Source organism: Homo sapiens, chromosome 2 (genome assembly GCF_000001405.40).
Source record: "Homo sapiens chromosome 2, GRCh38.p14 Primary Assembly".
NCBI lineage: Eukaryota > Metazoa > Chordata > Mammalia > Primates > Hominidae > Homo > Homo sapiens.
Genome location: NC_000002.12, coordinates 36,789,819 through 36,811,529, shown reverse-complemented (window position 1 = coordinate 36,811,529; position 21,711 = coordinate 36,789,819). Strand labels below are relative to the sequence as shown.

The following is a 21,711-nucleotide window of genomic DNA, read 5'->3' as shown; positions in this document are numbered from 1 at the left end:
ATTTGCAGACAAATCTCAGTGTTAAGCTGAGTAAGAATCTGCCTCCAGGTAATTTGCATATTTTGGTCCTAGTTCATTAAGGCTGCGCTGACAGCACCTCAGCCATTTCCCTCAGTCTTCATTTTTCCTGATGAGTAGGCCAAGGATACCCTCTGATTGAGGCCCAAAAGACGTACATCTAGAAAAAAAAGTGATGATGTAGCTGAGCACAAACTGGGGACAGATGTTTGGAGAAAGCAGGAGAGCCTTGGGCTTGCCGTCAAAGCTGGCCCATCTGGCTCTGCCCATTCAATCTAGGAGTTTGGGCCAGTTGCTTCTGAGCCTTAATCCGTCTTCAATCTGCTGATATGAGCCTGGTGGACCTTGTGATTGTTGGCATGCAGGCCACCAGCCATCCCACCATTATGAGGGTGCCCTACAGGCTCCATAAAGGGTAAGTCACCGGGAAGACTCTGCCTGAACCCCGTCTCTGGCTACTTTGGATTCTAGGAACCAGCATTGTTGATTCATTAAGGCTTGTTTTAGGAAGAAATGAAAGTAGCTTTCAACCATTCAGAAAATCCTGCCAAATAACTGAAATTAAATGTAGGCACAGAAGCCAGGTGCAGTGGCTCATGCCTGTGATCCCAGCACTTTGGGAAGCTGAGGTAGGTGGATGGCTATAGGTCAGGAGTTCAAGAAAAGCCTGGCCAATGCGGTGAAACCCTGTCTCTACCAAAAATACAAAAATTAGCTGGGCGTGGTGGTGTGTGCCTGTAATCCCAGCTACTCGGGAGGCTGAGCCAGAAGAATCGCTTGAATCCGGGAGGCAGAGGTTGCAATGAGTAGAGATCGTGCTACTGCACTCCAGTCTGGGTGACAGAGCAAGACACTGCCTCAGAAAAAAAAAAAAAAAAATTTAGGCACAGAAGAAGAAATAACAACCACAGCACTGAGTGAGTTGTGTATATTCATATTTGTCTACAGGGCATTGGTGTTCATTGACTACTTGGTTTACTTTTATTAGTAGTAGTATTATTATTATCACTTGGGGTTTTCTCCAGGCTGTTTATGTTCTTGATAACTTATGACACTTTTTGGATCAGTGATTATACATAAATTCTGCAATAAAGGCATAAACGTGGCTGATTTTCTAAACATTTACAGACATATTTTGCTCATTTTTCATATTTTAAAATTTTGTTGCCCTCTTAGAAATTTTTATGTGGACATAGCTCTTTGAACATTTTATTTTTTTGAGACAGAGTTTTGCTCTTGTTGCCCAGGCTGGAGTGCAATGGCACGATCTCGGCTCACCAGCAAACTCCACCTCTGGGGTTCAAGCAATTCTCCTGCCTCAGCCTCCTGAGTAGCTGGGATTACAGGCGTGTGCCTCCTTGCCTGGCCAATTTTGTATTTTTAGTAGCGACGGGGTTTCTGCATGTTGGTCAGGCTAGTCTCGAACTCCCAACCTCGGGTGATCCGCCCGCCTCAGCCTCCCAAAGTGCTGGGATCACAGGCGTGGGCCATTGTGCCTGGCCCTTTTTTTTTTTTTTTTTTGAGACAGGATCTTGCTCTGTTGCCCAGGCTGGAGTGTGGTGGTGCAATCATAGATCACTGCAGCCTCCAACTCCAGGGCTCAAGTAATCCTCCCACCTCAGCCTGCCGAGTAGCTGGGATAATAGGCGTGCACCACCATGCCTGGTCTCTTTAAATATTTTGAATCGAAATTCCTTTCAGGTTTCCCTGAAGCCCCACGAATCTGGTTAACAGTTGCTTACAGAAAAAGTACTTGTCTTTAAAAACATTATTTTTCCTTAAAAGGTACCAGTACATGGCTAGGCATGGTGACTCACTACTGTAATTCTGGCACTTTGGGAGGCCAAGGCAGGAGGATCACCTGTCAGGAGTTCGAGACCATCGTGACCAACATGGCGAAATCCCATCTCTACTAAAAATACAAAAATTAGCCGGGTGTGGTGGCACATGCCTGTAATCCCAGCTACTTGGGAGGCTGAGGCAGGAGAATTGCTTCAACCTGGGAGGCAGAGGTTGCAGTGATTGGAGATGGCACCGTTGCACTACAGCCTGGACGACTGAGTGAGATTCTGTCTCAAAATAAATAAATAAATAAATAAAAGTTACTAACACAAGTTGGTGGTCTAAGTACCAGTACAATTTGACATATTCAATAGAGATGGAGGTTTGGTGTTTTTAATAGAGGTAAAGTGATGAGTCAAATTCCCTTTTAATGTATCATGCTCTTGTGGGAAATGCCTCAGGGTGCAGGATGTAAAGAAAGGGTTAATGCGCCCAGTCATCCACAGGCCATGGGTTTGTAATGACACTTAGGAGACCACCTTGCTGCCCCATCCTTGTTCCTTCTCCCTACTCAGAGGGGCTTGCAGTGTTTCTACCCCTAATGCCCTCCCTGCGGCTTTGAACATTTTTATTAAGTCGCAGAAAAAACCAATGCATAAAAAGACAATACCTTCCTTGTCCCACTGGCCCACCAAGCCCCAGAAAGCAGCCTCAGCACCAGGCTGCTTGGCAAGCCCAGCTTACCCTTCAGATGGGCAGCCATGGCTGGGATCCGGACGTCGTCGTAGGACCTCCCGTCGGTGATGAGGATCATTAACTTCCTCTTGTTGGGCTTGGACTTCTTGAAGAGCTGCTCCAGGGCGAAGTTGATGGCAGCCCCCGTGCTGGTGCCACCACTCCAGTAGCCCACCCTCTTGATGGCGTTGAGGATGTCAGGCTTGCTGCTGTACTTGTCGAACCCAAACTCCAGCCGCTGTTCGTAGGTGTACTGCACGGCCCCGATGCGCGTGTCCGTGTCGGAAATCTCAAACTCTTTGGTGAGGTTGGTCACAAACTGGAGGACGGTGCGGAAGTTGCCCGTCCCCACACTGCTGGAGCCGTCGATGACGAAGCCAATGTCAGCCGAGTTCAAGCAGGTCTTGCTGCAGGCCAGGCGGTCAGTGTCGCAGACCCGCTTCACCAGAGGCTGCAGGGTCTTGTGGAGGCCAAACCAGCTCTGCACGTGGAGCGAGTAGAAGCCGTTTGTTCTGCACACGGCCTAGAAGACAGAGGGGAGGGACCCACGCCACGTCAGGGTCAAATCCTCCAGTGTCACCATTAGGCTTGATCCCCCGGGGCAGGTGAAGAAGCAAGCAGGCCCTTGTTTTCTGCACTAGCCCTCCTACCGTGTTCTTCCATCTCGGTTCACCCAGCGGCCACTCACTGAGGCGAAGCCCCCGGGTTATCGCTGGACTCAGTCCTACTCCCTCAGCTGAGTCCCTGCCTGCGTTAGTGGAAAGCTGTCTGCTAAGCAAATTCATAGGGAGAAATTAAATCTCTGGTGTCAGCTTCACATTTATGCTTCTCCGGGCTCCTCCTTTGTACTGGCAGCCAGCCATAAGATTGGAATTCGTGGGTACCATGGCATGAGAGGACTAAAGAAAGCTTTTATTCCAGTTCGGAAAAGAGATGACATACACAAGAAATCGCTATGGAAATGTCTCCAGAGCAGCCCTGTTCCAGGCGGGAAGGGATCCCACAGTTGCTGAATGACCACATGTTAGGGGTCCCATCAGATGCTCTTGGAATGATTCTCTCATTAAATCCCCACCTTCACCCTACAAGGTGGAATCATAACCCCCTGCCACAAAGGAACAAACTAAGCTATGAGGGGACTTCCCTGAGTCCCTGAGATTGGAACACAAACCTATTCACCTTCAGAACCAGACAACTCTGCCTCCAGGCAAATGAATATTTATTTACCAGTGCCTAAGCTTATTCCAGAAAAAAATAAGGCAGCTGCAAATACACCTTGAGCAAACTGATTGTTGCGCTCCCGGAAGTGGCTGGTATAATGTTCCCAAGGCGTGGTGTTTCTTCCTTACCCCTGCCTCTGGGTCACAGAAAGAGTCAGACCAGACAACTACCCTTGTATAATTAAAAGATTATTTTAGAACAAGAGATGGCTTCAAACTTTCCTGGAAAATATTTTTCAAAAATTGATTTGTAAAAACCTAAATGGAGTTCACAAAACTTTCCGTGGAGCTCATGACATGTGAGGTAAGTGCTGAGCTTGAGCTGAATTCTGGCCAACAGATGGAGGGAGGGATTTCCACCAGGCAGTGAAGTCACAGCAGGAGACAGAGGCGGTGCTGGGTGTGGATGGGAGACTAGCTGGACTGAACACAGGGCTGTGGGGGGTCATAATAGATGGGCCAGGAGAGTAGGTTGGGACTGCACCCCAGAAGGCCTTGAGAGCAATGGGTAGCAATGAAGGATTTGGAGCAAGGACCCCACAGGACTGAGGGAACCCATCAGAAATGTGAGTTGGGCTTCATTGTGAAATCTAAACTAACCTGGGGAGCACCAGGAGGGAGAAGGACCAGATGGAGGGTACCAGCTTGAACTGGGGAGGGGGCGTCAGGCGAGGGAAAGAGGAGGGAGAGAGATCTGTGATGTGGGAGCTGATGAGGAGTTCTGGGGTGACACTGCCCTCTGGGATGGGTGTGTGGTCATTCATGTAAAGTCCAGAGGAGGAAACAGTTCAGCGGGAAGGATGATGAACTTGGCTTGTTATAGGTGGGATTTAAGGTTCTGGTAGAACATCAGGTGGAGAAAAGTCAGTCAGCTGAAAATGGATGGCTACAGAGCTCAAGAGATGAAGGTAGGGCCGGGCGCAGTGGCCCACGCCTGTAATCCCAGCACTTTGGGAGGCTGAAGCGGGAGGATCAAGAGGTCAGGAGATCGAGACCATCCTGGCTAACATGGTGAAACCCCATCTCTACTAAAAATAAAAAAATAAAATAAAATAAAAAAACTAGCTGGGCGTGGTGGTGTGTGCCTGTAGTCCCAGCTATTTGGGAGGCTGAGGCAGGAGAATTGCTTGAAGCTGGGAGGCGGAGACTGCAGTGAGCCGAGATCGCGCCACTGCATTCCAGCCTGGGCGACAGAGTGAGACTCCGTCTGAAAAAAGAAAAAAAGAGATAAAGGTGGAAGCAGTGACCCTGGGAGGGATCCTGCAGGAGAGGGCCTCTTAAAGAGGAGGGTGTAGACCTGGGGAGGTCAACATTGAGGGTAGAAAAAAGGCAAGAGGCAATGAAATAAGAGCCATACAGCATCCTGGAAGTCCAGGGAGAAGGGCATTTCAAGGAGCAGGAAGTGGTCATCAGTTTGAGGTGGTGCAGGAGGTTGAGCCCTGCTGGCTGTAGACACATAGAATATTAAAGCTGGAAGGGCCTCAAAGACAAACCTGTCCAAGGCTTGCTTTCTATTTTAAAGCTGGAGCCTTTTCTTTGGAGGAAGTTTTATGTGGTGTTCCACTGTACAAAGGGAACAGCTTTGGTGGAGTGAGTGAGGGAGGCATTGCTCCACATCTCCTGCTGGGCATCTCCACAGAACCCAGGAGGAGCATCTGAAAACGCGATCTCACTGCTGTGGTTCAGTGCCTCCTTTCTCTGGTTTATCAGGTTGATGAATCGGCAATGTGTGTATACAGGAGAAAGCGTGTGTGTGTGTGCGTGTGTGTGTGTGTGAGAGAGAGAGAGAGAGTATGTTCGCTTGCATGCATGTGTAAAGGCTCCTTGGGCTGCCTGGGTGAGACCCCCCCTGGGGCTGTGGAAGGAGCAAGGAAGAACCTAGCTGAGAATTCGAGTACACTGCTCCTCCACAGCTGCTGGTGGGTGTGGGGTTTTGCTTTGAGAGGGTAATTGCAGGTTTCGGATTGACCAGTCCCTCCCTGGAGGCCTTACTGCCTAGAGATGAGCTTCATGCACATTTAAAGGCATGGGAAAACCACTGCAACGGCGTTACAATTTTTCAGAGTGCAGAAAATCCTGATGTTGGGTAGGTCTCCGGGCAGTCATCTACCTTGTTTGCAAAGTTGGGCTCCACCACATACTGCTTCTCATTTTCAGCAGCACCTTCAATGGTGATGAAGAAAATGTTGATTCCTGACTCTCTCGCAAGTCTTGAAGCCTCCTCCACTTTGTCCGTGGGCCAGCCATCCACCATCACCACCACCACATTGGGAGCCCCGCTTCTGTTTCCATTGGCTTTGGAAAAGAAGTTCTTGGTCACAAAGGAGATGGCCCGACCTGGAAGAAAAAGAAAATTCATGCTTGGAGTGATCACGCTGATTATAAATACAGGAAGAGATCACAGCAGCACAAAGAGGTCCAGAAAAATACACTCATTCCCTCCCTAGTTTTTTTTTTTTTTTTTTTCCTTTGAGACAGGGTCTTGCTCTGTTGCCCAGGCTGGAATGAAGTGGTTCGATCACAGCTCACTACAGCCTCAACCTCCTGAGTTTCATCAACCCTCCCACCTCAGCCTCCTGAGTAGAAGGGACTACAGGCGTGTGCCACTGTACCTGGTTAATTTTGTGTTTTTTTTGTAGAGACGAGGTTTTGCCATGCTGCCTAGGCTGGTCTCAAACTCATGGGCTCAAGTGATCCACCCACCTCAGCCTGCCAAAGTGCTGAGATTACAGGCATGAGCCACTGCACCCGGCCTGTTACTTTTTTAAAATCACTTCAACTATTTTTATGTGTACAATTCAGTGGCATTAAGTACGTTCACAATGTGCAGCCGTTACCACTGTCCATTTTGGTTTCATTTCAAGCCTTCAACTTCTAATTGTCTCCGCTTTGAAGAAAGTTTTAGGGACAGCAAGCAGGTGAGAAAGACTTTTTTTTTTTTTCCCTGAGACAGATTCTCACTCTGTTGCCAGGCTGGAGTGCAGTGGCACAATCTCGACTCACTGCAACCTCCACCTCCCAGGTTCAAGTGATTCTCCTGCCTCAGCCTGCCAAGTAGCTGGGACTACAGGCACGCACCACCACACCCAGCTAATTTTTGTATTTTTAGTAGAGATGGGGTTTCACCATGTTGGCCAGGATGGTCTCGATCTCTTGATCTTGTGATCTGCCTGCCTCGGCCTCCCAAAGTGCTGGGATTACAGGTTTGAACCACCGTGCCTGGCCAAAGACTTTCATGCGAACAGAAGTGCCCCTTTTCTGCTGGACCCACACTAAGCCCCTAAGCCAGCCCCATGTTGTTTCCAAGAGTGTAGGGTGGGAGGAGTTGACCTGGAGTGACAGTAGCCTCTTCTTGGCCCCCTGCAGCCTGGGGTGAGCCTGAGGCTCCTGCTGGCTGTACAGAGCTGTGTTCTGGGGTCAGGAGTGTTTTTCCTCCAGTTCCAGGCCAAGGGCACAGGTCTGGTTGGGCAGGGAAGAGTTGCACCCACTGGGAACTGACAGACTGTGTTCTAGCCCTGGCTGTGCTACCTGCTAGCTGTGTGGCCCTGAGTAGGTCACCCTACATCTCTGGGCCTAGCTTTCCATAACAGCAATCTACTTCAGCTGAGTGCAGCAGCCATGAAGTGCTACAAAGCCTCCTGCCATGACTTTTCCAAGTGCATATTTCACACTGAGAAGGGCTTCAGGAAATTTTCAGAGTCAACTAGACAATGACCAATTGTCTCAGTTTGCCAGGACTTTCCCAGTTTTAGTACTGAAAGCCCCAGGTTTTTCTGGGAAAACTGGGATGACCGTTCACCCTAGAGTCAGCATGGCTGTATAGAGTAGGCAGAGCTCTTAACCTGGGCTCTGTGAACCCCAGGGCACTTGAAATTATACACAGTATTTTGTGTATATAAGTATCTGTCTGGATAGAAGGGCCATAGCTTTCACGGAATTCTCAAAGGAGTCCTCAATCTCCATAAAAGTTAAGAAGCACCTTCTTTAGACTTTAGGATTAGTAGTATTATACTCAATGCATTTCTGATTTTGGCCAGCATCCTGTCTCCACTAGCTGGTATTATCTTACTTGTCAAATGAGAGCATCAAATGGTTACATATACAGATGCTGCAGAAATGTCTTGGAAAACCCATGTGAACTGGCTGCACAGAACCCACTTGCTAAGGAAAAACCTTGGCTGCTAAGAATTGCTTTTATAGCCAATGGACAATTTTTCCCAAAGCACAAAGCACCCGGAAGTCCTCTCTGGCCTAATATTAGGCACCTATAGGGCAGAGCACAAGACGCCATGAGAAGATCCCCTCAACCCCACCTAACCTTATATCTGGAGGCCATGGTGTATAGTGCTCAACACACATTCCATCCACCTTCCAGTGGGTCTTGAAAATAGAGGCTGGAAATCAGAAAACTACATTTTCCAGACTCCCTTGCAGCTAGGGATTTAGCTTTGTTTTAGTTCCATGAATTGATGCACTTGCATGAGATTTAGAAGATAAAAGTGAGGCAGAGGCTGTACTTTTGTTTATATTTCTGCTGACAAATATCTTTAGTATCTGACTTCTCTGGGATACTGTCCGCAGAGGTGCTTGGGGTTGGTTGCTAGCTGCAGTGGTTTGGGGCGGCAGGGTGTGGAGATCCATGTTGTGGGTGTGAATGGCACAGGGAGGGCGTGGTTCTGGAGCTGGCAGCTCTAGAAGAAGCTTCCTGATCTCCTGATCCTGCTGGCTTCCTGGACAAAGCAGGTTTCTGAAGAGGTTGCCATGGCAAAATTCAGAAAGTGATTTCCTAATCTTGGAAGAAGGAGCAGCTCCCTTGGAGGTCCTACTTCTGCAGGAAGCCTTCAGACATCATCTCTTAAAGCTCAGCCTACAGTCTGCTTCTTCAGTTCTTACAGTGATTCTCCAAACTACTTAATAGCCTGAAATTCCAACCCTTTCTGTTGGAATCAGTTGAACGGATTCTGTCCTCAGAACCCAAACTCTGGACAATACAGAGGCAAAGTCAGAACATGTCATCCACTGAAAAACGTATGCTGATTGGATTGAGACCCATCGCTAACCTCGTCAAGGAACGAGAGTGCCTTCTGACATTTGTCTCCACTGGGATTTTACTAATGTAAGCATTAAGTTATAAACAAACCAGAAATCAACTCTGTCATGTGTGTGATGAAGGTAATACTGCTTTGGGGGCATGGAGAGTGACTTGGCTAGTGTTTATTTAGCATTGTTCAAAGGTGAAAAGCTCTGTATGTGTTAGATACTAATGTTCTGGTCACTATAGAGACATACACTGAAGTGGGAAGGGAAATCTTTAATCGGATTTACTGTAACTCTGAGGATGCTCCCTCAAAGACAGCTCAATTCCCTGCATGTACTCTAAGCCAAGCAACTGTGGCTCATGACTCCATTTCTTTGGATTTTGATGACAGAAACACTTTCCCCGAGAGGTGGACAGTCTCCCTCCAGTGCCCAAAAAGCCAATCTTTCATTTACAAATGAATACACTGGCATGGGCTCTTTGACAGTCTTTGAGCTTGGTTAGTGTGAAACTGTTTCCTAATGGCCAATCAACTCTGGATAAACATAAAATGGAATTTCTGGACATGCCCCACTGAGGACTAGACTTTGGATTTCTGGTGAGACCCCAAAGGCTCAGATATCACAGAAGACCTAGCTTGAAACAGAGAACATGTTTCTCTTTGCACAATCATCACTACAACGGTAGTTGATTGGAACAAGATTCTCAAGGGGCACTGAGGGGCTTCCTTAACTGGTCACAAAATTTAATGAAACAAGTGATGACTTGTAGGCCAACAAAAAAATAGTCAGGACAGCAGACTTGATTGCCCTGAAGAATGCTACCCCTTCTTGCAAACCAAGCATGCTGGGACTGTACAGTGTGTGTGTGTTAAAGATTCTTGCCCTCTGAAGCCATGATAACTTTAGAAAAGATATAGATGTTGCAGGAGTAATTTCTTTGTCCTTTTTTTTTTTTTTTTCAGATGGAGTCTCGCTCTGCCACCCAGGCTGGAGTGCAGTGGCGCCATCTTGGCTCACTGCAACCTCAGCCTCCCAAGTAGCTGGGATTATAGGCACCCGCCACCACACCCAGCTAATTTTTGTATTTTTAGTAGAAAGAGGGTTTAACCATGCTGGCCAGGCTGATCTTGAATTCCTGACCTCAAGTGATCTGCTAGCTTCAGCCTCCCAAAGTGCTGGGATAACAGGTGTGAACCACCACGCCCGACCAGAAGTTATTTCTTGACGGATTATTATTATTTTTTCCTTTTATATAGAATGGTTAGAAGACAATCACGTAGAAAGAGAACGATGGTAGCAAGATAGTATAATTTGAATCCGGATCACATACCTACATTAGAAAGTCCTCCTCTCTGAGTAATTTTCTCTATGGCTGTCTTCAGATCTCGAGAATTCGTGTGTGTCTTGAGGTTAAAGTGAGTAGCAGGGTTGTCTCTGAAGAGTCAGAACAAGAAATACAAATTAGCTGCAAAGTTAATACCTTTGGAGGAAGGCAGAGATCATGGTTGATTCTTTTATATACAAATAGAAGCTGCTTCAAAGCCTTCTGCTATGCCTTGTAAAATGTCCCATTGTGGACTGGTGTGTGTAGAGAAAAGGAGGCTATTTCAAGGCTCAGAAGGCGTGTGTTGACTGTGCCATTTCCTGGCTGTGTGATCTTGAGGAGACAACTTCTCTGGGCTTCAGATTCCTCATGTAGATGAAAACATCGTTATAACACCCATATTGCTAATGAACGGGACTGTTGTCAAGTGGGATTTTGCAAATGTCAGGATCCCATCTGTGGAGTGCTCAGCGTTCTCAGCCTACCCCAGACCCCCCTCTCCAGAAAGAGAATCTCAGCTGTCAGCCACTCTCTGGGTTACCCTTAGCACTGGAATTGCACGTGAATAGTGGTACCAAGGAGACCTCTCTCTGCTTCTCATCCTGCAACCGGGTGACACTACTCAAACTCATCTAGAAGGTCAACATCTATTTTGCTGAAGACTGAAAAAGATTAACTGGGGAGGAGTTGGAGTGAATTCAGTGGAAAAACACAGTAAGAATCCCTCTCTACAAGTGAATCCCCACGAAGCGGCGGAGTGGAGGGTGTGGAGGCGTGCAGGAGGGCGGGTGTGTGTGCATCGCACCCAAGATGAGGTGTGAGATCACATCTCACAAACCACTGACACTCAGCCACAGGCAGCGCTGACTTCGTGGGCGTGAGACCTGCGCAGTCACACAGGGCTCCATGCTCCAGAAGAGCCTCAGTCAGAAAGGCCCAGGCTTGGCATAGTGCTCTGCTGCTGCCGTCTTGAAATTCTTCATCATTTTTGAACAAGCTGCCCTGCACATTATGTAGTCAGTCCAGGCTAGAGGTTACTGTTTTCTTTTTTCTTTCTTTCTTTTTTAACACGGAGTCTCACTCTGTCACCCAGGCTGGAGTGCAGTGGCGCGATCTCAGCTCACTGTAACCTCTGCCGCCCGGGTTCAAGCAATTCTCTTGCCTCAACCTCCCGAGTAGCTGGGATTACAGGCACCTGCCACCGCGCCTGGCTAATTTTTGTATTTTTAGTAGAGACAGGGTTTCACCATCTTAGCCAGGCTGGTCTTGAACTCCTGACTTCGTGATCCACCTGCCTTGGCCTCCCAGAGTGCTAGGATTACAGGCGTGAGCCACCGTGCCCGGCCATTTTTTTTTTTTTTTTTGAGACGGAGTCTCGCTGTGTCTCCAGGCTGTAGTACACTGGCTCGATCTTGGCTCACTGCAGTCTCCACCTCCCGGGTTCAAGTGATTCTCCTGCCTCAGTCTCCCAAGTAGCTGGGACTACCGGTGCGTGTCACCACACCCAGCTAATTTTTGTATTTTTAGTAGAGATGGGGTTTTGCCATGTTGGCCAGGCTGGTCTCCAACTCCTCACCTCAGGTGATCTGCCTGCCTTGGCCTTCCAAAGTGCCGGAATTACAGGCATGAGCCACCAAGCCTAGCCATAGAGGCTACTAAGTTTTCAAGAAGGAGAAGACTTTTTTTTTTTTTCAGAGACAGGGTTTCGTTCTGTTGCTCAACCTGGAGTGCAGTGGCCCCATCTTGGCTCACTGCAGCCTCAACTTCCTGGGCTCAAGCATCCTCCCACCTCAGCCTCCCAAGTAGGTGAGACCACAGGTGCATGCCACCACACCCAGCAAATTTTTTCATTTTTTGTAAAGACAAGGTCTTGCTATGTTGCCCCTGGCTGGTCTTAAAAGCGTGGACTCAAGCAGCTTATTGTCCTGTTTTGGCCTCCCAAAGTGCCAAGATTACAGATGTGAGCCACCATGCCTGGCCAAGAAAACTTTTTAAAGTAGCCTTTCTACAAACACCAGAAATGGATCCAGGAAGAAGCGGTTGTGGGCAGTTTCAGGTGGGAACCTCAAGGATGCTGACCATGGGTTGATTCTTAGTGAGTCCATGCGGACCGGGACAAGTGGTGCAGTCACGAGGAAACCAGTCACCAGGACCTGGGAGAGAGGAGAAAGTGTCTGCCTCCCCGCTTCCTTTCCTCCATCCCTGTTTTCCAAACTGCTCTCTATCTCAAAATGATCTATGCTATCCCCAGAGGGTGGCTTATTTACAAGGCAAGGGATGAAAAACAGAAAGAGTGGACACCTTCAGGGAAGACAGGAAATTTAAAACAAGCTTAACCAAAGTGGGGCACTGGAGAAAAACCCAAATAGATGAAATTTCACCAGAAGAAAACCAGGTTCTATGGTTGGGACTAAACAGAAACAAACAACAACACAGCAATCAGCAGAATGGGGGAAATGGGGGTGTTGAGCTGGGCGTGACCTTCCTATCAACCTACAGTGTGAAGTGTCTTGATCTGAGGCTAAAGTCACAAATTCAGGGAGGAGGAGTCACACAGTGGAGGAGCACTGTGGCTTTCACTCTGTATTCTTCCCCTCGGGTTCTAGGGCTTATGGGTTCATTTTTTAAAAATTTTATCTATTTATTTTTTTCGAGATGGAGTCTTGCTCTGTTGCCCAGGCTGGAGTGCAGTGGCTCGATTTTGGTTCACTGCAACCTCTGCCTCCAGGGTTTAGGCAATTCTCCTGCCTCAGCCTCTGGAGTAGCTGGGATTACAGGCACCTTTCACCATGCCTGGCTTATTTGTTTTTGTATTTTTAATAGAGACGGGGTTTCACTATGTTGGCCAGGCTGGTCTCGAACTCCTGACCTCGTGATCCATCTGCCTTGGCCTCCCAAAGTGCTGGGATTACAGGCATGAGCCACTGTACGTGGCTGGGTTTATATTTTTACAAAGCAATTTCAGTAAATGCTATGTACACTTTTACTTATACAGCCCATCAGCCCCCATCCCTCAGGTCCTGGCCATTCCTCTACATACATTCATTCGCTTTTATTCCCTACCCTGTATGTCTACTGTAACACCGGGAGTCCTGGCCCCCATGCTTCTGGCTGCCCCTAAGAATCCCTGTGTTGGTCTCTGTAGTGTTAGTTGTGTGGCCATCTGCTAGAGGAACCTTCAGTCCTCAGTTCTGCCCGCAAAATTCCCCTGCTTGGAAATCATCAGAAATTCCCATTGCTAAACTTGATGTTTTGGCTTTCAAAGCATCCATAATTTAATTTCCAACTATCATGTTAAGGCTGTTCTCTTTCTTATTCTCTCTTTCACTCTCTTTTTTAGGATATTCCATGTTCTAGTCAAAATGAACTGTTCACCCTTTCCCACTTTTCTAGCTTTGTGCATTTGCTCACTTCTTCCCTCATCTGGAAAGCCCCAATCGTGCCCACCCTCCAAGCTCAGCGACCCATCTCCCTTACTCCCAGCCCCAGCTGACAATCTCTCTGCCTGACTCAGCTTTCTCTAACCAACACCGTGCATAATATGTGGCGCCTACAGGCACTCAATTAACAGCATTAACATTTCTTTGTTCTATTTCTGTGCATCTCTAAACCTCTAAACTTTGGTGTTCCATAGGGTGCTAGCCCCATCATGCATCTCTTCTTGGCTATGCACATCCCTGGGAGATTTCATCAACTCCCAGGACTCACAGACCATTCATGTGCCAAAAGCTGTCTGTGCACTGGTTGGTCCCCTTTCTTGAACCTCACATATACATAAAATGGCTTCCATACAGCTTCCTCTGGAAGGCACCTCAGGTTAGATATTTCCAAACCTGAAGTTGTTTATCTTCCAAGCCTGATCCACCCAACCACCCATCTCCCCATCTGCCTTCCTCTCTGACTCACTCAGTCATCCAGCAGTGTGTGTTCCTGACACTCTCCTCATCAAATACCACGTCCTGTCAGACCTACCTCTAAATATCTCTCACATTTCTCCCATCCTTTCCGTCCCCAAGTTTGGGCTTTCATCTCTTTCCTGAATATTGCCAGAGTTTCCTACCTGGTCCTAACCAGGGCAGCTTCTGCAGTGGATGTTTTATCCAGTTGGCTCTAAGTGTTTCACAGAAACAGATTAACTAAGAAGTTATAATGCCTCTTCCAAGACGTCTAATTGTGTACAGTATTTGTCATTTTGTGATCTTCACTTTAAGAGAGCCCCCAAACTGTATAAGCTTCAGAGTCCTTAAAGTCTGGATCTTCCTCTAGTGACCAAGGGTTATCAACATTTTCAGAGCCAAAAAAAAAAAAAAATTGGTTGAAACAAAAAAACATATTGGCTACAAAATGAAAAATTGCAAAATTGACACTGACAATAATAAATATGTAATTGTCCATCAAACATAATGTTATTTGTACATTTTTTACATTAGTTATAATGTAAAACATTAATAGTAAAATTTTTAATTTATAAAAACTGAATTACATTTGAAAATGATTTGTGGGCTAGATTTTCTCACTTTGCACAATTTCCTGAGGGTGTCTGGTGACTGTCAAGAAATAGTAGCCAATCATAAATTAAACGTTGCTCATCGACAAATAATTTAAAAAGCAAAAATATAAAGGTTCCTTTCAAAAGTTTTTACAGGCCAGGCATGGTGGTTCACGCCTGTAATCCTAGCACTTTGAGAGGCCAAGACAGGAGGATCCTTTGAGCTCAGGAGTTGGAGACCAGCCTGGGCAAACAAACACAAACAAACAACAACAACAAAAAACTAAAAAAAAAAGTTTTTACAGAAAAAAAGTATTTAATGTTGAACCTCTTCACTTAGTCATTTTCCTGATATCTTAATATTGATCATTAAGGTTCTGGGTTGATGTTGATCACTTTATAGAGCAATTGTCGATTCCCTGTCTCTTTCCCCTACCACATACACAGCTGAGTCTTGTTAGTTTTGGCAGTTACGTTCTATAAAGTTGCAGTTGCCATGAGCACTGAATTAGCAAGTACTGAGCCATTCCTTCCAATGGAAATACAAGGTTTGGTTCCTGTGAGCCTCTGGTCACAACATTTTCATCAACAGAACAATATATAACCTTGTTTTACATGTGTTTTTCTTTGAAGACATTGAATTTAATATATGCTTCTTACAAATAGTTAATTATATGCAGTATATCTTTATAATAAGATATTAGCTGAGAAGGGTTTACCATTTTCCTGAATTTGGATAACATGACCATAAATTTCTTTGGCTTTTAGCCTTACAACTATGCTGCCCACTATGTTTTTTTTTTTTTTTTTTAATCAGTCATGATCTCATGAATTCGTAAGTTTAGGCTCTTTTCCATAGCTTCATCACACCCTTTAGATATTATTTCAGTACTTTCTGGAGTGGACTCATATACAGACTAGCAAATTTCCTCTTCTTTTTCTGAATGCACCAAATTATTGATTCATTAACATTGAGCTCACAACCAATAGCATTGTCACTCATGTCTGAACAAAGCTAATTGAACACACTTGTTTTCTCTGCAAGCCACAACCCAGCTTCTTGCACTTAAGAAAGCTAGCTAGCATTTCAGCACTACATTTGGAGTCCATTTTAAATAGCAAAATCACCAAAGACAAGCACAAAAATGTAAAAAACGTGGCACTAAAAAAAGACTGCAGAAAGGACACTTGAAGAGAGTTGAAACAAGAAGGCAGAGTGGGCTGGGCGCCTGTAATCCCAGCACTTTAGGAGGCCGAGGCAGGCGGATCACCTGAGGTCAGGAGTTCGAGACCAGCTTGATCAATATGATGAAACCCAGTCTCCACTAAAAATACAAGAAAATTAGCCGGGCGTGGTGGCATGTGCCTGTAATCCCAGCTACTCGGGAGGCTGAGACAGGAGAATCGCTTGAACCCGGGAGGCGGAGGTTGCAGTGAGCTGAGATCGCGCCAGGGCAACAAGATCCAGCCTGGGCAACAAGAGCGAAACTCCGTCTCAATAAAATAAAATAAAATAAATAAAATATAAAATAAAATATAAAATAAAATAAAATAAATAAAATAAAATAAAATAAAATAAGGCAGAGTGTTGTCTTGTTTGACCTTAGCTGGGAAGATGTGCATCAGGTGACTCCATTCTTTTTCCCCACCTCTACACATATCCAAAAAATGACTGCAAAAGTTCCTGGAATTACAAGTTTGAGATTACAAATAAATTTAAACTTTAAGGAGTAGGCAAATTTGCAAATACAGAATCCAGAGATCATGAGGATTTGACTGTAACCTACTTGAGAACAGGCACTTTCTCCTAGCTTCCAATCCCTAGTACTTAGCATCCAGGAGGTACTAAATAGGTAATTGTGAAATAAACAAATGGAAGAAAGGAAGCTCAAACATCCTCTCCTCTCTCGGTTCATCCCCAGTGGAGGTGAACACTCTACTTCTGAGCTCCACACTGACCACCCCTTGCTTCTATTACATCCTAGATGATGAATCCATCTTCAGAGGCATACAGATGAGCTACTCATATAATGAATGAATAGGTGCTTCTAATTTTTTTAACGGTATTTCTTTTAAAAATATTGCCTCCCTGGATGGATTGTGAGGTCCTAAAGAACAGAACCTCTACCACATTTATTTATTTAAATAGATCGAAAGGTTGGATCAGAGGACCTCTGAAACCCTTTCTGATTGCTAAAATTATAATTAGGGGCAAAGGCATGGAACTCATCCACCAAGGGAATTAAAGGCAAACGTAATCAAACCACTTAGATGAATTTTTCATCAGATCCTCCACAAATGACCAAGGGCGCAGTACATGGCAAACATTTAAGAAATATTTGTTAAATTTCACTCTAATCATAATAATGAATAAGAAATCATGAATCTGCAGTCCGTGGCAGGTCTCAGGACCAGCGTATATGTGTCCTTTTCCGAGATACATAGGTTGATGGCCTGATTAGCCTGGTTACTCTTCAGACTTGGAGACTAAAAGTTCAAAGAGGTATGCCACTAAATTTTTATGCAAGCAATCTTTTAATTTGTAATTTTATTACAGGTTCTTATTAAATGCAAACACTAAATTTTTTTTTCTAGGGAATATCAAAGATTTCCTTTGAAAATAAGAGAAGAAAACATAGAGGTTGTTAGCTCAAAGAGAAAATTTAGATTGTTCTGTGTTTGGAGGAAGACCTAGGATTAATGAAGAGGAATGACAGGGAGCCAGAAGTTGGCCATGCCTAAAAAGAAGGAATTTGTGTAACAGTAAATGGCTACGCTGCAAGGGTTTAAGAAGCAAACACCTGTCAGAAATGGGCACAGGTGTTTGATTCCTAGGAAGGCTTGAGGGCTAGGGACAGGGAAATTGGATGGATCATCAGTGTTTCCAGACCTACCTGATGATAAAACTCACCTAAGGCACTTACTAAACTATATAGGTTACCATTCCTCTCCTTGAAAGAAAATCCATGGGGCTCGGAGATCCAGGTGATTCTTATTCTCAGGAAAGTTTGTAAAGCTCTGGATTCTAGAAGGCTTCTGAGGCCCTTTCAGTCCTAAAGTACCTATTCTGTTTAAGCCCCAGGGTCTACTGGTTTACCCCATGACACTCTGAGTCACACAGAATGAGCCTCTCAAATGGATTTTTGTGCCAGTAGAGAAATATTAACTAATCATAATTCCCTCCAACAAGAACTTTTCTATTTTCTCAAACAAGCCATCAACTTAAGGTTACAATCAAATAACATAACTATTTAGCCTTTTAATTGTTTTACTAGCTAATATGTGATGCTTTATGGACTTAGTCAATGAGATGGACCATGCCTGTAAGATCAGGAGGATGTTTCAGGTCACACGACAGTGGCTGCAGACTTGTCCCTTGAGGGTATTACCTGGTTCAGATGGAAAATCATTCTGCTCCCATCCCTTCAGACAGCTATGAGCTCTGCTAGAGCAGCTATGACCAGCCCAGGGTGCAGCGTCCTGGGCCAATCTGCTCAGGGACTTTGCACAACTAGCCCTCGATGAATGGGAACTGGTCTTTTCCACATTTCCCACCATCAGAGAAGGAGGAGCAGGGTCTTAATAATCAAATTTCATTTTTAAGTGAGTGGGGTTTTTTTTTCTGCAATAACTATGAGAATTCCACTCATCTACCAAAAAGGGTAGAAAATTGAGCTGCATGAACCTCTTCCTGCTGGAGTAAATGTGAATCACGTGCAATATGCTGATCTGAGAGCCACTCCTGAACAAACTGGCTCACCAGCTGCTAATCTGCAACCACATCACAGGGCTCAGTGAGTGTTGGGGAAGTGGGGCATCTTGGCAACAGAGCTTCCCAAGCTCAGATGTGCATCTGATCACCTGGGGATCTTGTTAAAATGTAGAGTCTGACTCTGTAGAACCCGAGTGAGGTCTGAGGTTCTGCATTTCTAACAGCCTCCCAGATGATACTGTGGATCACACTTTGAGTAGCAATGTCTTAGAGGATGCTTTAGTAATAATAATAATAATAAAAATCAGCAATGGGGCTTCCAGTGATAAGATGAAAGAAGGAAAATAAATAAGAAGTCTAGAGAAGGGAAATGAAAGGCAGAGAAAGGGAGGAGGGTGGAGCTCCCCCAGCCCTCTGGACTGGCCACTGTGGGGGTCAGGGGTCACTGGGGGACTGGGCTTCACTGGAGGACAGCACAGGCCCATGAGAATATTCCGGTCTTCACTCTGGTTGCACCACAGAATCAGCTGGGGAACTCTAAAAAATAATGATACCTGGGCTCTACACTCAGAAAATCTGATTTAACTGATGTGAAGTTTGGTCTGGGCATCTGGAGTTTTAGGAGCTCCCAGGTGGTTCTATTGGGCATCAGGGTGCCCATCTGCTTCTCTGCGGGGAGACTGATCTCAGGGACCCCAGATAAACCCAGTGGATGTGTGAGGAGAGCTGAAAGGGGAGGGGTGGAAGTCAAGCGCAGTCGTTTGTATGTACCTCCAGGAGCCCTGCATGATAGGGAAATAAAAGCATGGGAGGCAGAAGAAAAACCTCAGAATCTTATGATTCTTGGGCATATTGTATTCACAGTTCACTTGGTCTTGAGACTCTGTGTTCCTGAGGAGTGCGGCTTGTGGGCCTTACCTGCCTGTCTCTCAGAGAGGAGAGAAGTGGCATGGTGGGGTCTTGGCAAGGGGCACTAGGCCCTGGAAAATCAGGCCAGGCAGGTGACGGGGAGCTGTTCTGAGATCTTGAGAATTACAGATTAAAATACCAAGCTCTGGGTCTCATCCCCTTGCCAGATTCTGGTTTAATAGGTCTGAGGCAGGACCCAGGCATCAGCATTTTAAAAAGCTCCCCAGGTAATGCCAACGTGAAGTCAAGGCCCAGACAGCCCCTTCCTGCTCTGAAGTCTGAGGGTGGGTGCTGTAATTCACCTCTGCCAGCCCCCATCCCAGCTGCATTTCATGCCCCAGCCCCTCCCACTCCCTTTTTTTTTGGCTGCAGACTCAGAGAATGAGACAGAGTGGTCCTCGTTGCCAGTTGTATTAGCTTCCTATTGCTGTTGTAACAAATGATCATAAACTTGGTGGCTTAAACAACACAAACTTAGTTGAGAGTTCCGGAGGTCCCAAGTCCGACGTGGGTCTCCATGGCTGAAACCAAGGTGTGGCCAGAGCTGTGCCCCTCTCTAGAGGCTCCAGGGAGAATCTGTTTCCTGGTGTTTCCCAGCTTCTAGAGGATGCCTGCACTTCTTGCTCATGTCCCTTTCCTCCATCTTCAAAGCTAGCAATGTCACATCTCTCTGACTATGCTTCCATCGTCACACCTCCCTTTGAATGACAATAGCTGGGAAAGCTTCTCCACTTCTAAGGACACGTGTGGCTACACTGCAACATCCCTATAATCCGGGAGAACCCCCCCATCTCAGAGTTGTTAACTTTAATCACATCTGCAAAGTCCCTTCTGCTGTGTGAGGTAAAACATTCACGGTTTCCAGGGATTTGGACATTGACAACTTCGGGGTCATTATTTTGCCTAACATACCAGACACGGCATTTTGCTTCTTCCCCTCAACTCTGACTGTCCTGCATTAGGTGGCTCAGCCGACCTATGGAAGCTGCTCTGCCCAGCTGAATGCATGACCACGAGTCTTCAGTCCACGGGCTGAGGTTGGGTGGGCTGAGAAGTGAGAAGACTGAGGAGATGCGGCCAAGTCAGAGCCACTCACTAAACCACAGGACAGCTATTATAGACTCATGAGCAAGGAAAAGTCTATTTGATTTTCAAATGAAGAAAAAACCAACAGTTCCCTTCATCCCACAACTGTTTCCAATTTTGATATCCTAGGGTTGATTACAAAGAACGTGTGCAATTATGTTCCATTTATACTGAGATGGGGGCCTGAAATGAAAGTGTAGTGAAGGTCTGGAGGACTGTTAGCACCTGTGGGTCCGGGATGCAGCTGAAATGCAAGGTGTTTGGCCACGTTACTAGAGTTCACCTAATGGCTTGCCTGGCTGTTCTTTCATTGACTCTTTCCGTGTTCCTGTTGGTATTAGGTGCAATTATAAGCCTTTTGGTTGTATAATTTGAACTTAGAATTCATGTGCAAGACAGGGGCTTGATCCTTGGCCTTTTGTCCACACACGATGTCTCAGTCTTCAGGAGGTGAAAAGTAGCAATTACCAGACTCTTTCCTGGCAGATGAGCGAAATCTCTGCTTTCACGACAATTTTGTTTGACATTTTAGGGATTAACTCAAGACTAATATTTGTCCTCTGCCCCAGTCATGCATTTAGCTGTGTGTTCTTGGGAAAGTCAGTCAACCTCTCTGACTCTGTATCAAAAGCTGCCTCTATTCCTGGAGGCGTGTGATGAGTGTGGTAGGAATGCTGTGGTTGCTGACAGGTTAACGTGATTGTGAGTTATGGGTCCCGCAGGTGGAGAACATGGGAGAGGGTGCTTGCCCAGTTCCATGGTGGTTAAAACTTCTGTTGGGCCCAGACCAGAGGTAGGATCTCAGCCAGTGCAAAGTGAAGTTATGAAGGATCAGAAACCAAGAGCCCGGCAGAGGATGCTGGTCAGCTGAGAGAAGATCAGAATGGAGAGGCAGAGAGGTGTAGAGATGCAGGCAGAGGAGGGGAAGGGGATGGCCAATGTCTCATCAGTCCTGTGAACACTTTCCTTTCCACGAATCTCCCTTCACCTGGGCTACCTGGAGTGGTTTTCTGTTCCGTGTACCCAAAACGTCTTTGAGTAGGAGATTGAGGAGTCAAGATGTGTTGCATTTTGTAAATGAGACCATTTTTATAGGTCTTATATTTTTCTTTGCCTTTTTCCCAGTTAATATTTAGTATGAGTCTTTTAACTTCTAAATTTGTCTTTCAAGTTCTAAATTTATAAGTCTAAATTCTGACTCAGCTCTCCTAAGGAAACCCAAGGAAGGAATCTTCCAGGAAGCTGTGTGGACCAGGGGCAGTGGTAACAGAGGGGAGAAGGGAGGGAAGGAGCAGTTCTGAGCTCCGGAGTCCTCCTCCCTTGGCCAGGTGCTTCTCAACTTGAGTCTCTCCTTCCAGTGCTAGTTCTTGATGAGGCGGTCATTTGTTTGTAGGGC

The 21,711-nt window shown here is 46.0% G+C and overlaps 1 protein-coding gene and 1 long non-coding RNA gene across 14 annotated transcripts in view; one reads left to right on the top strand and one right to left on the bottom strand.

The window, feature by feature from the left end:
* The window catches only part of VIT (vitrin), a 118,088-nt gene that overhangs the window by 3,265 nt on the left and 93,112 nt on the right, over window positions 1-21,711 (bottom strand). For all 13 annotated transcript variants that reach the window (NM_053276.4, NM_001177969.2, NM_001177970.2 and 10 more), the window contains 3 exons: window positions 10,126-10,229; window positions 5,866-6,092; window positions 2,545-3,058 (listed from right to left, as the gene is read on the bottom strand). In NM_053276.4, coding sequence (NP_444506.2) covers window positions 2,545-3,058; window positions 5,866-6,092; window positions 10,126-10,229 — 845 coding nt within the window. The remainder of the gene's footprint in view (window positions 1-2,544; window positions 3,059-5,865; window positions 6,093-10,125; window positions 10,230-21,711) is intronic.
* LOC124905990 (uncharacterized) overlaps window positions 4,092-21,711 on the top strand; it is a 118,030-nt gene continuing 100,410 nt past the window's right edge. Inside the window, exon 1 of the long non-coding RNA XR_007086283.1 lies at window positions 4,092-4,321. This is a non-coding gene — a long non-coding RNA (uncharacterized LOC124905990). The remainder of the gene's footprint in view (window positions 4,322-21,711) is intronic.